The sequence below is a fragment of the Homo sapiens genome, chromosome 6, assembly GCF_000001405.40.
Source record: "Homo sapiens chromosome 6, GRCh38.p14 Primary Assembly".
Taxonomy (NCBI): Eukaryota; Metazoa; Chordata; class Mammalia; order Primates; family Hominidae; genus Homo; species Homo sapiens.
In genome coordinates, this window is record NC_000006.12 from 144845010 (window position 1) to 144861084 (window position 16075).

The 16075-nt window shown below is 38.7% G+C and overlaps 1 protein-coding gene across 2 annotated transcripts in view; it reads left to right on the top strand.

Moving 5' to 3' along the window:
- Window positions 1–8025, top strand: part of UTRN (utrophin) — a 567700-nt gene extending 559675 nt beyond the window's left edge. For both annotated transcript variants that reach the window (NM_007124.3, NM_001375323.1), the window contains 2 exons: window positions 1796–1818; window positions 5980–8025. In NM_007124.3, the coding sequence (NP_009055.2) occupies window positions 1796–1818; window positions 5980–5988 (32 nt within the window). In that variant the 3' untranslated portion in view covers window positions 5989–8025. The remainder of the gene's footprint in view (window positions 1–1795; window positions 1819–5979) is intronic.

Sequence of the window (16075 nt, forward strand, 5' to 3'; positions counted from 1 at the left end):
AACATGACCGTTTTTTAACTGTGTCTACACATTGTTGCACATAACACTTTAGAACTCCTTTGTCTGAATTAATATCCCAGTTGGTCCTGATAGCATCCTTGAATTATGGCCTTTTAAAGTCTTTTTAAAATTATTTATGTTGAGTCTTAGAGCAGAGAAGCAGACATTTCCTTCACTTCCTGGCAAGGAGTTAAGGAAAGGGGTTTAAATGTACTGCCAATTAACAAGTGTACTTACTAAAATTCCCACTGACTGCAGTAACTATTTTTATTTTTTGGTATAAATTTTTTTTGTCCATTTTTTACTTATGTCCTTCAAATGTATGAAATACTGGCAGTAAGCCAACTAATTTTTGCTGATAGACCAAGAAATGCTTTCAAAATTATTTTTGACCCACAGGCATATTTTTACTATGAATTGCCTATGTTTATTAAGCTTGAATGGCATTCATCAAAAACCCAAAACCCACTGCAATGCAGTGATTTCCTTTTTAAAATATTTTTGTGTGATTTGTTCAGGCAAATACCCATAGCCTTTTATTTGATAAAAGGCTGTAAGGTTAAAAGTATTGGTTTAGAGCAAAATGGATTAGACTTCTGTCTAGGGTTTGGCTATTTGTTATATTTGTTACTTGCAAGAGAAGCATAACTCTGTCTGTTTTAAAAAGAGTGTGTAAACCTATGGTGTACTTAATAATAATTCAACTCAGCTATCCCTTGGACACTGTGGAGGTCCACTCTTTTCTCCTGGATGTAACTTACAGATCTGTTAGAACTAGGCTTCTTTTAGCCTGATTTCTCCCCCAAATACCGGGCCTCACACTTTCCCTCCAGACGTTATAGGAAGGGTACTCTTCATGCCTGCTCTTTTTTTCTCACATAGCTCCCAGCACACAGCACATGGTCACTGATGTCCTTTCTCCCACTCAGCATAGAACAGTGAGAGATGGAAGGAGTGCAGCATGCTAGATGACTAGGGACAACTTTTATTTGACCAAGAACAGATTGTTGCCATTACTGGGGGACAGATCTCCTCTTTTCCCCCCAGCATTGAGAACGAGATGATCATGTAGCAAAAGAGGGGACGAAAAGCAGATGCCTTAGAGAAGAGATGGCAGTGGCTGCCCTTGCAAAGCCCGCCAGATCGTCTTCACTGTTATGGGCTCTGGAACCAAAAAGGAATTGAGCTATCTGTGTGGAAAGGAGAATTAGATGCCATATTCTAACTTCTCCGTTGTTCCTAACTGGGCCCATCCAAGGGACTATTATTATCCCAAGTGTCCAGAAGGACACTGAGGATTAGGCCAGCACTTTCCTTGATGCAAGTACTTGGCCACCATTTTCCTGGGCGTTAGGGTCCAGGGTGTGTCAAGGGTGGGTCAAGAGAGGCAGAAACCAAAGACTTATGCCTTCAGTGGTCCCTTGGTCAGAATTAGTACTCAGCAAAGTAAGTAGAACATGCTCTGTTCTGATACATAAACCAAATACACAGTATGATTTAAATAGGAAATGAGATTTTTTGCAAGACTAAGTGCTCAGTGAATGCTTTAGTGTATGCACTAAATCTTAAATCACATGGGATATGAGAAACTAACCAGGAAAACTAGCCCTCATTGAAGCATTAAGCCAGGAAAAAAAAAATGTGTTTCTTGTTTTTCCTATTAGCATCCATTTAACAACTGGGCTATTATTACCCTATGTAGAGTGATACTTTCCACGCATTTGCATGCCTGAGAGTTGGAACCAACAAAGTAACAGGACTGCCATTAAGTGATTTCTTTTGTTTTCTCTTTCAGCAAATGTTCCCAGCAGGCCACAGGTAAGAGTTAATGGCTTGGTTGGCTCTATGTTACTGATCCCAACCTAGAGTAAGCAGATTATCCACGACTGATTTTATTCCTACTTTATTCTCCATGTAAATAAGTAAACTTACTTGACATTTAAATGTTAGTTGATTCTGTACAACAGTTTGTCAGTCTGGGAGTGGGGGGTGGCTCCCAAGCCACAGATACCAAAAATACCATGTGTTTGATCCTTTGTGTTCTAACAGCTTTTTAATGGCATCTTATGTGCTACATAAAGTCACTCTAGATAGATTTGACCACCACTGCTCTCTCAAATGTCTACTTAAGGTGGCTATCACAGAACATTGACCTAAAAAAAAAATGACTGGTACCACAGAGGTGGTTTTGTTACTTTGCAGGGGAAAATATTTCAATTTTTTACTTAAAAATTTTGCTGAGAACTGTTGGCAGCTGTACCCTTATGCCTTTTAGTATTTTCTATAAACCAAAAAGTGTATGAGACAGGTTTACTTTGCCAAGGTTGAGGACACACCTGGGAAAAAGAGAGATAAATTTCATTAGGATTTGTAGCCTGTTTTGTTTTGTTTTTTTGTTTTGTTTTGTTTTTTGTTTTTGTTTTTTCCCAAAAAGGATTTTGAGGGCTTCACAGAAACGAAAGAGCAGGCAGGAGGGGGTGGAGGAACAGTCAATTATGCATTTGTCTTATGCTCAGTAAATCTGCGTTTTATATAATTAAGATAAGGTATGCCTAGAGTAGAAGAAGCAGTCAAGTACACATTTTTCTCAGGGTGGGAGGAGAGATGACTTCTAGTCCTGCCTTTGTCCTGTAAAGATAAGCTGTTAATTCACATTGTCAGGGTGAAATTCAACAAAACTCTGTTTTAGGGTAAAGATTTGGGGACCCTTAGAAATTTCCTTGTGAGCAATTTGTGAGGGAGGTCACTGGCCTTCTATCTTTGCAAGTAGCTGCTTAGGAAGGTAGTTTTTGTGTGACTCAGTTCCCACTTTTAATTTTTCCCTTTAGCATAGTGAGTTAGGGATCCTGAGATTTTGTTTTCCATTCACATTTTCTTATCACATACTTTTAGTAATAATGTGCCACAAAGCCACAGCAGCTTTGGAGAACATTTTCTTTCATGAACTTGTTTACTAATCTTTTTGAAACAATGAGCCTTCTGAATGATTGTCTTATTGGCAAGAGAGGCTGGGATCTTAACTAAAAGACAAGGGTATGTGAAGTAGGCTAGGGGTGTGGTGAGCTGTGGGTGTTCTCTCCTGCTTGCTTCTGTTGTCTAAGTGAATTGGAAGCCGGGACTTTAGCAGGGAGTGAGGTTGGGGAGGAGGTGTCAGAAGTGCGAGGAGAGACTGGAGGATGTGTGATAGCTTCTTGGAGAATAGAAGAGCAGATGGCCTGGGAAATAGAGTGTGACTATAAGCAGCATTAAAGGTGCCACTCATGAATTTAACATGAGGCCATTCTGCAGGGTTGTAAGTTGCCCTCTAGGCATATTCACGTTCATGAGCACAGGCACCAGAATGGGCTGAGTATTGGCATTTAAAAAGTTGAAGTTGGGGTTTGACAAAGTGAGTACAGTGATTCAAGGGAAGAGGCAAAGAAGTGATTATAATGATTGAACCAGATGCTTAAGCTCAGTAGTGAAAGGAATGAGGAAATGTCCAGTGTGGGAGACAGAAATAAAGATGGGAGGATCAATGGATCCTATTGTCAAAGGATGGATAAATTTGCAGTTGTAGGGGAAGTAAGCTGTGGAGGTAGAGGTGGTTGTCAGAAGCTAGGTTGAATGATACTGAAATTAGAGGGGTTGCAAGTATTGGTAATGGTCCATATTTGGACCTTTGTGTGAATGGCTAAGAAGGTTGGAGGACAGGACCATTGGAGGAAAAGAGCCTAAAGAACCAAGAAGCCAGAGTGCTGGAAGAATCATCTCCATGGGTGTTGAAATCACTAACATTTAAAAATGGCTTTAGAGTAGGGGACTTTGAGCCATTTTTTACTTCAAGAAGTGAAGGAACATGACCTACGGAGTCAGTAGATGACTGCATAATGGAGTCATATAGTCTGATGATATGAGATTCAAAGCTGGGTGTTTTTAGGGAGAGGAGAAAGAAGATACCCCAGAGGCCCCAATGAGGACCAAGGAAGACTCATGCAGTGTATGAGGAATGGGGGAGAATGGGGAGGGGAAGTGCTGTGTGAGAGGGTTATGAGGGAAGCTGTGTCTTCAGGTAGATGCAGATATTGATTAGAGCAAGTAGATGCAGGCAGCATTCAGAGAAGGGTTTGGGAACATGGGTTTTGCGGATCACAGGCCACATGACCTATAGGACAGGTTTCAAGAGCTAGGAAGAGTGAGGCATAGGGTCACAAAAAGGGGTATGCAGATCTCTATATGACTAGAATACAGGTGATGGAAGGGCAACCAGGAGTCTAGAGCTTTTTAGGGTGGCCCATTAAAATTAGGGATAAAGGGTACAAAGAGGTTAGTCCTGATGGTCCCCAGGTGGAATGAGGCTGTGAGTGACAAAGGCAAGGAGGGAAGAGAGAATCTTTTAAAATCCTCAGATATAATACAAGTGCTCAGAATTTAAAGCAGAAAATTATCTGAGGAGGCCTTCTCCTCCTACTCTGTTTCTAGATTTTAGAAATTGAGTTTACAAAGAGCTAAATGGTTCCCAGTTGTACAGCAACTTAGTGGATGGAGCAAACATGTAACTCAATACAAGAGGCCCCTTTCCCATTTTCTTCCTTCCCTTTCCATGTGTTTTTTCCTGCTCTTCTCTTTTCTTCATTTTTTCATGTCTTGGGTCGAATGGAAATTCATGAAAAGTATATATTTTCACCTGGAGGGTTGGGCTAATATTTACATAGCATGATCTTAAATTTTTAGAATTCTGACACCTAAAATGAGCAGTATTGTGTGTCCAATTAATAGACACATCTCATTCTCAAGGATAATGGAGTATATAGGCACAATTCAAAAATCCTCTTGGCTTTATATTTAACATGAATCAGCGCCAGAGTTTCAGTTATCAATATTAATATGTAACAAAATGTTCCTTTCTCATATGGGGTTAATCTCTCCCCTTCTCTGTCCTCAAACCACTTCTTTGAATTTACTGTGGCCGGCACTTACCTCATATTACAATTGAATGAGGCTGCCTGGCTGAGATATCTTCCACACCTGCTTCACAGGAGGGCCTCCCCTCAGTACAATGCCTGGAACCCATCAGTGTTTGCTGAATTTTTGCTCCCTCTAACATGGCAATCAAATGTTCAAAATGGAGAAGCAAGTGTCTGAAGAATCCAAATTTGAATAGTCATGGAGAATGGGCTCTAGGCCAGAGTCAAATGAGTTTGCTGCTTTCAGCATACCTGGGAAAAGGAGGGGCTCCGTGGGCAGTTTTTCCAGTGGCTTCATTAGGAACATGCTTCCAGGGAGCAGGATAAAGTCCCCCATAAAATAAGGTGTAAAGACAGATGGAATATCTTTCCTGAGGGTCCAGAAAGGCCTTTTATGATTTATGAGGCATGGACCAGTTTGGATGATTTCATTTTAGCACTTTTTTTTTATTTTTTTCTAATTTCAAAATCCTTTTAGAAGACCAAATGTTTGACCTTCCCTTCAAAAGGTTGATACCACTTCCATGAGTGTGGCCTGGATTTATATTGTCTCTGACCTGGGACATTTAACTTTAACTGGCACCACTAAACACCCTTGGGTTATGATTCCTGCCTTGCCTTCCTCTTCTCTGGACTCCAGCTTGGGATCAAGATGGTTGGCATTGTTAGGGTACCCCCTCTACAGATGACCTCCCACAGTCCCCCAGGAAGACATGGGATATTTTCACCAGCCTCATTCGCTCACCATTGGTACCTTCAGCAGAAAGAAATGAAGTCCTCTCCATTTTAACTTTGCTTCCAGCCTGGCCAAGAGAAAAGACTTTCAGACTTCCCTCTAAATCAGCTGCAGTGATAGAAAGCAGACTAGGTAACTTCAGCATGAGAGGGAGGGACCTCATTGCAGGAAGCAAAAGTCACAGTAGAGTTAAGACTCTTGAAAGAAGCACTTTTATTTTCTTGAAGAATTGACAGATCTCTGCTTCCTGTAATGTTTTGTGCAAATTTCTGACAGTGCTATTTTCCCTTCCCATAGGCAATGTGAAGTATTCATCCGGCCAACCAATGTTTCCTGACGTACAGTGTTGCCCTTTTCAGCAAATGCCAATTCCAAGTTCCATTAAATCAGAAGCTCCATGGCTCCTTGGCCCACGATGTTGAGTGCTGACTGTGTGTTCTACTGAAAGAGTAAAACACTGACTATCCAAAGAGAAATGGATATTTTGTTTTTATAATAACCATATATTATTGTTTTCTTCTTCCCTTTCTATGCAAGTGTAAATTAATGAACAGAGAGGTATTTGGAAATGGTAATACATTTGTCACGGATTTGTATAATGTATACAGCATTGGGAAAGTGGGTGGGGGCTTTCTAATATGATACCGTCTTTTTAATAACTATGACAAAGCTTACATAAGAATTAGAAGACCACTTTACATTTTTACATTCCTTCTGCTGTTCATATTAACCTTGCACAATTACTTCATTTTTTCTTTGACTCTTTTACCACAATGTTTTGGTTATTTATAATTTATCAGCCATATGTTTATCAGCCATATAACCAACTAGATCCCAAATAGATCCATGTATTTGTTTCCGTGATTTGGCCACATTAATAAATTCATAAATTTCAATCAAATATCTTATATATACACACATATGGTTTAAGCTACAGCCCTGTGTATGCCGTTTAACTTTATTTGACGTTGCCCACTTACTTCTTTGCTGACCACTTGGATAACCGTAATAAAAATCCTATAAGCCTAAATGGCATTTCTTTTGGGATATTTTTCCTGCATTTTATTCCCTTTTTATATAAGTAGGAATTAATTATTTATTTTATGTCTTAATCTATTTGATAAAGAAGACTACATTATAATAATCTCAAAGATCATATTACCAAAGGTTGCCCACTTGAGCATATTTTCATTTTGACACAGAAACAAAATTTAGTACAACCTTTCCTAGTTCCCATGTCTTGATTTTCATCATTACATGCACAGCAGACCTTTACCTATTGTGATACCAGAACACATCATTGTCTTTGGTTCCCTTCAAAGAGAATTTTATTGTTGTTTTGTATTTTCAAGTCCTTAATAGTTCTTGAAACTCCTAGTTGTTTTCTTGTTGAAAGCAGACACACATTTAGTGCACGGCTTATTTTACCTTTCGGGTGAAAGATCAGATGTTTTTATACCCTTCACTTGATCAATATATTTGGAAAGAATGTTTATCAAAAGTCTATGTCACTGCTTCTACAGAAGAATGAAATTAATGCTTAGGTGATGGTACCTCCACCTACATCTTTTTGAGTGCATTCAATTATGTATTTTGGTTTAGCTTCTGATTTAACATTTAATTGATTCAGTTTAAACATGTTACTTAATTAGCAAATGTAGAGGAACCAAAAAAAGGTGAAAATAATATGTTTTGATTCAAACCTAAAGACATAAAAACATAAAGACATTTTAACTTTGGGTTCTCTTTAGCTGGGATCTGGCCAGAAGGAGGCTTAAAGTTAGAAATTGCTATTATTTTAGAATAGGTTGGGTGGGTTGGGGGGCAAGGGTGTCTATTTGCAGCAGAGATATTTTGAAAAGAAGAAAATTGTTTTATATAAAAAGGAAAGCCATGACCACCTTTCTACCTCAGATCCATCTTCATCCATTGCATTGGAAACTGCTTTATGCTGCTGCAGTCTGCAAAGTCTAGAGCTTTTATCAGGCCATGTCATACCCAAGAAAGCACCTATTTAAAGAAAAAACAATTCCCTGAGCTCTCAACTCCAAGTTGTAGATTTGGTGTCTTCCTTGTTCTTACTTTAAAAAGTCATGTGTTAATTTTTTTTCTGCCTGTATTTGTATGCAAAATGTCCTCTATCTGCTATTAAAGAAAAGCTACGTAAAACACTACATTGTAACCTTCTAAGTAATAATAAATAAAAAGAAATATATTGCAGTAACAATGGGAAGTAAGTATGTAGTTCTTTTGAAATATGTGGTAAAGAACTAATCACAGACTATCATCTAATCTGGTTACATATTGTATTTTTCATCCTGAATAAAAGTAATTTTAACACAAGATGACTTTGATATTCTTCAGCTGGATTCACTGATAGAATGTGAGTTTTGAATGCACATTTATGAAAACAAGATATAGAGATAGCCTGTGTCCTGATACATCTACATTTTTTCCTGCAGTTTCTCTCATACACACTAATACAGTCTCCTGTTGCTCTCATTCTCTCTCTCTCCCCATCTCTTACACATACATATAATTATATGATTCTCAATTTATTTTCCAGATAGAAGGTTTATTGATAGAGAAAAGTAATATTGGATGTAAAAATGTGTACATAAAACCTGTTGAGTGTTTTAATAACTAGATGCTGTTGACATTAAGTTCCTTTCAAATGTACTTTTAGTTTCATGCTCTCAAATACTGTATGCTTTTTATCCGTACACTGGATTTTAACCACTCTAGTAGGTTTAATCAATTTCTGAAGCCATTCAGTGGGAAACAATGTTGAGAATCATGTTGCTTTATTCTAAAATTAAAAGCTGTCTATGAACTAGAAAAATCATCTAAAATATAATTTGTTAAAATAAAGAAAACTGATACATTCTGATGAACAAACATTTTAAACATCCTGTGTACCACTAAGTAATGCTGACATTAAGCATTCCTGAAAAAACACTTGATTTCCAGCAACTTGTTGACTAGGTAGCTGAAAATAGAAGTGCGAACAAATGAACAAGTTTTGCTTTCATACTGCTGTGGTTTGAATGTGTCACCCACAGTTCATGTGTTGAAAATTTAATCCCCGATTCCATAGTGTTGAGGGGTTGGACCTTTAAGAAGTGATTGGATCATGAGGTCAGAGGTCATGAATGGATTAATGTCATCACAGAAGTGTGTTTGCTATCTCAAGTGGGTTTATTACCAAAGCACGTTGGGTTCTCTCACTTTCTCTTGCATGTTCTCTGCCCTGTCACCTTCCACCATAGGATGACGCAGCAAGACAGGCCTTACCAGATGCTGGCACCTTGATATTGGACTTCCCAACCTCCAGAACGCTGAGAAATAAATTTCTTTTCTTTGTAAATTACCCAATCTGTGGTATTCTGTTATAGCAACACAAAATAGAATAAAGATGTATACTGTGCCTTCAAGTTGTTATATATCACATATATATATAATATATATGTTACAATCAAGGCACAGTATACTATATATACTGTGAAGGCATAGAGATAGATGATAGATGATAGATATAGATAGATAGATAGATAGATAGATAGATAGATAGATAGATGATAGATAGATGATAGATAGATATAGATAGATGATAGATAGATAGATAGATAGAGATAGACAGACAGATAATCTTTGTAGTTTGCTCCTGTGTATCTTTTCTCCCACCCACATTCACTGTTTCAGTATGCCAGCTTTTTCAAAGGCCTTTCTAAATTCATTAGTGGAGAATTTAATGATAATACAGTAAACCACCACTAACGCTACTACTTAAACCTATGAGTAGGATCCAAAAGCTTCACTGACATACAATGTCAGCTTGTGTTTTTGTGAGGTTAATTAAGTAACCAGAATGAGGCTGCTACAGACAGCAGGAGATAATCACAATTACATCGCATCCACTGCCTATGGTATCAGTTATCTATTGCCACAGTCATGCTGCATGGGAGCCATAAAATCTTAATAATAAGAATTTATTTAGCTCATGGTATATGGGGTTCAGCTACTCTGGGCAGACTCTTCTGATCTCAGTTAGACTTGCTCACACATTTGTGGCCAGCTTTGGATCACTTGAGGGCTCTGCTGATCCTGGCTGGGTTGCACCCAGGTCTGGGAGCTGATTGGCTGTTGACCAATGTGGCATGGTTAACCTAGGATGACTGGGGACACTTGGATGAGTTCCTTGATTCACTAGCAGGCTAACCTAGGGATGTTCTCATGCAATGACAGAAGTGTGGGCATGCAGAAGGAGGCCTTTGCTGAAACGTGGCACATCTTTACTTCAGCCAAATTCTGTTGGTCAAAGCAAATTACACATCTTGGTATGGGGAATACATTTCATGTCTGTACTGAGAGAAACTGCAAAAGTCAAGGATAAAGGATAGGTATAGCTATAGAAAGCATAATGAACTGGTGGCCATTAGGTTTCATTATGTAAACCTTGAGATAGGCAAAGCGGAGAACTTGGAGCCAGAATATAAAGTATCCATTTCCTTAGGCTTCATGTCCACTGCTCCAGTGGAAGGAAAAGGCAGTAGCCTCTTTACAGGGGCTTCTTTTAAAACAAAGGTCGAAAAGATCAGCCCTTTCACTCCAAACTAACAAAGCAATTTCAAAAGAAAAAACAAGTAGGAAAATCTATCATGCCTGTGCCTAAAGTCCCAAGAGAAGAAGACCTCAGAACTGATACTAAAATTAGGAAAAATAAAAACAGGAAAGGAAAAAAACTGTGAGAAATGGAATAAAGATGCTACAATAAACTGCTCAGATGAACCTTTGTTCAGGTTTAGCATTAAAAAATTTTAGCTGGAAGAACACACAACATGTAGGAGGCTCCTCACTTTGACCAAATCAGTAGGGCACATGTGCTACAGTGCCCCTCCCAAGGGGCATGCTTAAAAGCATGCAATTTATTTGCACTTTGCATAAACTTACAAACTTAGCTCTAATCTCTCATTTTAGAGGCCTTCAAATTGTGGCATATTTTAGAGTATTTGCAGTTGACACATATGCTTAAATTCAGATATTCTTTTAGAGACAGCTTCTTTTTTGGTAGTTTTGAATTTTGTGGGTAATTAGGAGAAATGAACTGACAATTTGCCTTCAGCTTAGCTCTGTCCTCAGACCAGAAATCACAAATTTTGAATTTGTAATGGTATTAGAGTTCTCCAGAGAAACAGAACCAATAGGATAGATATAGATATGTAGAAAGAGATTGACTATGAAATATTGGCTGACATGAATGTGGAGGCTGAGGTGTCCCACCATCTGTCGTCTGCAAGCTGGAAGCCCAGGAAAGCTGGTGGTGAAGTTCAGTCCAAAACCCAAAAACCTGAGAACTAGGGGAACCAGTGGTGTAAGTCCCAATCTCAGCCCAAAGGCCTGAGAACCCAGAGTGCTGATGTCTGAAGGCAGAAGATGGGCTTCCAGGCTTGCACAGGAAGACCAAATCTGCCCTTCCCCCCACCTTTTTGTTCTATTCCAGCCTTCAGTGGACTGGATGATGCTTTCACATTGGTTAGGGCAATCTTCTTTACTCAGTGTACCAATTCAAATGCTAATCTCTTACACAAACAGCCTCACAGACATACCCAGAAATAACATTTTACCAGCTATCTGGGCATCCCTTACCCCAGTCAAGATGACACATAAAGTCAACATCATCATAATTAAATGAGAAGAGTTTCCAGGTTGCCATGGGATGTAATTACGCTTAGTCCTTGATATTATTTTTTCTAGGGCCATTTTTCAAAAATATTAAAATATTGATTTTTAAATGTTTTGTTTGTTTCTTTGCCTAATTAAGAATAGGAATTTCCTGGCTTCTCCTATAACTGACTAAAACATCCAAGGCCAAGCATGGTGGCTCGTGCCTGTAATCTCAGCACTTTGAGAGGCTGAGGCAGGAGGACCACTTGAGGCTGGGAGTTCCAGACCAAACCTGTGCAACATAGTGAAGCCCCTGTCGCTACAAAAAAAAAACGATTTGTTTTAATTAGGCAGGTATAGTGATACGTGCCTATAGTCCTAGCTACTCAGGAGGCTGAGGTGGGAGGATTACTTGAGCCCAGTAGTTTGAGGTTACAGTGAACTGTGATCACACCACTGCACTCTAGCCTGGGTGACACAGCAAGATCCTATCTCTAAAAAAAAAAAATATATTATCCAGTTGGAATGTGACTGCCATGTAATAAATACAACTGTAAGGACCATTTAGTTTCTCTCTTCCAACCTCTCCTTTATTTTGAAGGTCTGGCTCTTTTGCATACAGGTAAAAGCTTACTCATATTTCTCTTCAGATCTTTTTTTCTTTTTTTAAGAAGAACAATGCTGTAGATCGTCACAGCCTATTTGAAATATTTTATAACTCTATTCCTTTAGTGTTTTGAGAAAGCATGTACTAATTCTTAAATTTATTTCTCATAATATTGATAACAAAAGGAATTCTATATAGCAATTACTGGAAATGTGCCCTGTGAATATAAACTAATTCTCTTGAGATTAATCATCAAGTATCAGTTCTCTTTAGTTTTATCACCACCCGTAGATAAATTAAGTGGAGTTCCTGAATCAGAACAGCTTAGGACCAAACCCATACATATAAGGACACCAGAGTATATGTCACTGTATTTGTCCTAGCCTCAGAGACGAATTGTTTAGTCATTTTAACTTTAACTGGTTTTGCAAGTTTAAACACAACTTTATATTAGAGCAGTAAATTGTGGTCCTCATAGCACCCTCCTCAGAATCATCTGGAGTCTCGGTAGACTCTCCCCAAAAATACTGAATATGAAGCTCCACAGACCATGCTCAGGAATCTGTGTTATATATGTCTGCCGGTTTCAGACAAATGCCACCAAAATAAGCTATTGATGGTACAAAGCTGTGCTATTTTTAAAAGCCATAAGAGAACAGTCCTTGACAGTTTTTGTGGCATCTCAGAGGGGAAACATCTTGAATGGGATTGCATAAGGAGAATGCTGTAATAGTTGAAGATTGGGAGACGTAGCAAGGCAAAGGTTTTGAGGCAAAGATTTTGAAGAATCTTGGGGAAAACAGCTGTTTGATGCTATTAAATAATTTAACAGTTTGATGTTCATACAAGTGAAGTTTTAGAAAATTTTTGGAACAGATAAGTTACAATATAGTCATGATCTTGAAGACAGAGGAATATCAAAGCTATGTTAGTGAAGATAATGAACGCATAAAGTCATGTCAATGTAGAGAAAGCTGCATGGGTGTAAGATGCTTTTGGTTCTCAGCTTCTTCAGCCAGAGTTAAAGGATAAATCATTAATATCTGGAGGCAGGATCAAGCCACACCTTCACCGCAATTTGGAGTGTCATGATTATGTATTATATTCCCAGGATGGTCTTTTCAACCACTGTAAGTGTCAGGTTTTCCTGTTCCTTTTGTTGGATGATCATTTGTTGGACCGTTACATGGGACAATGGCTGCACAGAGTATGCAAAATGCTGGAGATCACAAATTCAAGTTCTGCAACCTAGAAGAAGAGCTGCTGTAAAAATGAGCTGCTGATTAAAGCAGCTCTATTCTCAACCACCACTTGCTCAATTTCATGAACGTCGCAGGCCAGGACTTCTATAGTCTTGGTGATATTGTCTAACTCCCCTGCTAGTATATGAAATGTAGTATGTATGATTCTTTTAATTTTTTGGACTTCTCTCTTGAAAAGAGAAGAAAGTAACCCAGAATGCTCCTTGAATAGTTATGGCTCCAAATCAAGTCAAAATTTTTATCCTTCTTGAAATGTTATCAAACAATCTCTTTGTCTAAGAAAAAAACTGATTGGCCAAAATATATTCTGATTGATGTCAGAGATTATCCAGAAAGTGGGCATCAGTTTAACAACACAAGGAGCCCCTAATCCAGGCAGTAGCCAAAAATCCAATACTTGTCACTGGGGAACCATCCAATAATCTTTCTTTCTTTCTTTTTTAGCCAAAATATCCCTATGAAACAATGGTGAACCCTTGCCAAGAAATTTTGAACAATTTTCATACAATTCATCAAAAGTGGCATGACACCAGACAATGAAATTTGTAGTATTGATATCATTAGATGGAGATAAAGAAAAGGGAAAGTGTGCCTTTTAAGAGCTGCAAAAGTTTAAGACAGCCGTCAAATATATACCCTCTGTTTCCAAGTTCTATTTCTGTGAAAGTTCAGTGCCAAAGACTAGCTTTCATGAAAGTTCCCCGAATATAGTCTTGGCAGGGGTAGGAACCAACCTTTCTAGGTAAGATGTTGATATGTTTTGGCTCTATGTCCCCACCCAAATCTCACTTTGAATTGTAATAATCCCCACATGTCAAGGGCAGGGCCAGGTGGAGATAATTGACTCATGAAGATGGTTTCCCCCACACTGTTCTCATTATAGTGAATAAGTCTCATGAGATCTAATGGTTTTTACAAATAGAAGTTCCCCTGCACAAGCTCTCTTGCCTACGACCATGTTTCTTGTGACTTTGCCTCTCCTTTACCTTCTTCCATGATTGTGAGACCTCGCCCAGCCAATGTGGAACTGTGAGTCCATTAAACCTCTTTCCTTTATAAATTACTCAGTTTCGGGTATGTCTTTATCAGCAGAATGAGAACAGGCTAATACAGTGAATTGGTACCAGGAGTAGTTGTAGAGGAACAGAATTCTAAGGATGAATTTATTTAGTTGGTTTTGGGGTTTCTGGAGGTGGATGCTTAATATTATTAGACCCCAAAATGCTAAGGACTCGACTTCTAATAGTATGGAGAACACTCATACTTCTTGGCAAGAACTGTTTCAAGGGTTATGCAAAATAAATGCATTCAATACTCCTAATTCACTGCTTGTGAGAGGCAAGGAGTTTAGTGACTCTATACATAACACTTTTGACTATATGTGGAGAACCAAGGAATATAATGAAGTTGGTTGGTTGCTCCTAAGTTCGCTAGGCAAAATGATGAAGGAAAACAATGAACTCAGGGATTCTAACTCCCTGTTCCAGAAGCACATACTGAACCTCAAATCTGCTAAGATTGCCCTGAGTTAGAGTCTTATCTCCTGTAGAGAAAGAGCTGAAATTGTGGAAAATCAGACACAAGCTCTTATCATGTGAGTGGCTGACCTGCAAAGAAAGGGCCACACGCAGCCTCGCCAGATGTCTACTGTTAAAGTGTCAACTTGATTGGATTGAATTATGCAAAGTATTTTTCCTGGATGTGTCTGTGAGGGTGTGGCCAAAGAAGATTAACATTTGAGTCAGTGGACTGGGAGAGGCAGACCCACCCTCATCCTAGGTGGGCACCATTTAATCAGCTGCCAGCATAAAAGCAGGAATGGAAAGAGTAGACTGGCTAAGTCTTCTGGCCTCCATCTTTCTCCTGTGCTGGATGCTTTCTGCCCTTGAACCACAGACTCCAAGTTCTTCACCTTTTGGATTCTTGGACTTACACCAGTGATTTGCCAGGGGCTCTTGGGCCCTTGACCACAGACCGAAGGCTGCATTATCGAATTCCCTACCTTTGAGGTTTTGGGACTTGGACTGGCTCCCCGGCTCCCCAGCTTGCAGATGGCCTAATGTGGGACTTCACTTTGTGATCATGTGAGTCAATTCTCCTAACAAACTCCCTTTCATATATACATCTATCCTATTAGTTCTGTCACTCTAGAGAACCCTGACTAATACAAATGTGATAAGGGTTTTAGATTTCCAGTGATCAGTCCTTTTGTGATATTTGCATTTAAAAAGTTATCTCATTGTTGAATCCAAGTACCTAAGAAGTCAACTAACTCATTACAAAGAAATGATAGGAAGAGAAGCAGAATATTTCTCAAAGGGATGGTGCACAAACGAAACCGTACATTTGGTTGTATGCCAGTTCTCAAGGAAATTCTAGATAGACATTGAATTTAGACGTAGGAGTGACTAAGAATGCAAAAAAAATATATTAGAAAGAGGTGCCTTATAGATAACATAGTTAAAGGCAAACTGAAACAAGCAAAAGAGGAAACAAGATAGCTAGGAAAATAACAAAATAATTCATTTTAAAGCATGATAGTCTGTGGCTTTGTTTCATAAATCCAAGGTGAATTCAGAAGTCTTGGTGGAAGCTATTTCCTCCCAAAGTCTGTTTATAGAGGTTAACTTGAGGTCTTCACAGAGGACTTCATCTTCCATTTCTAGGATGGTTTATGCTTGACTGAAAGACATAGCTCCAAGAATAAACCCCTTGGATTTTTACTGTCCTGCTAATTGTTAACAGTACCTCAAGGGGTACTGTGCATCAGGGTTTCAGGGCTGTCTTTCTCTGATATAATTTCTAGAAGACCCATTCTCTAGGTTTCAGTTCATGTAAAGATAACTTAAGAGGCAGAAAG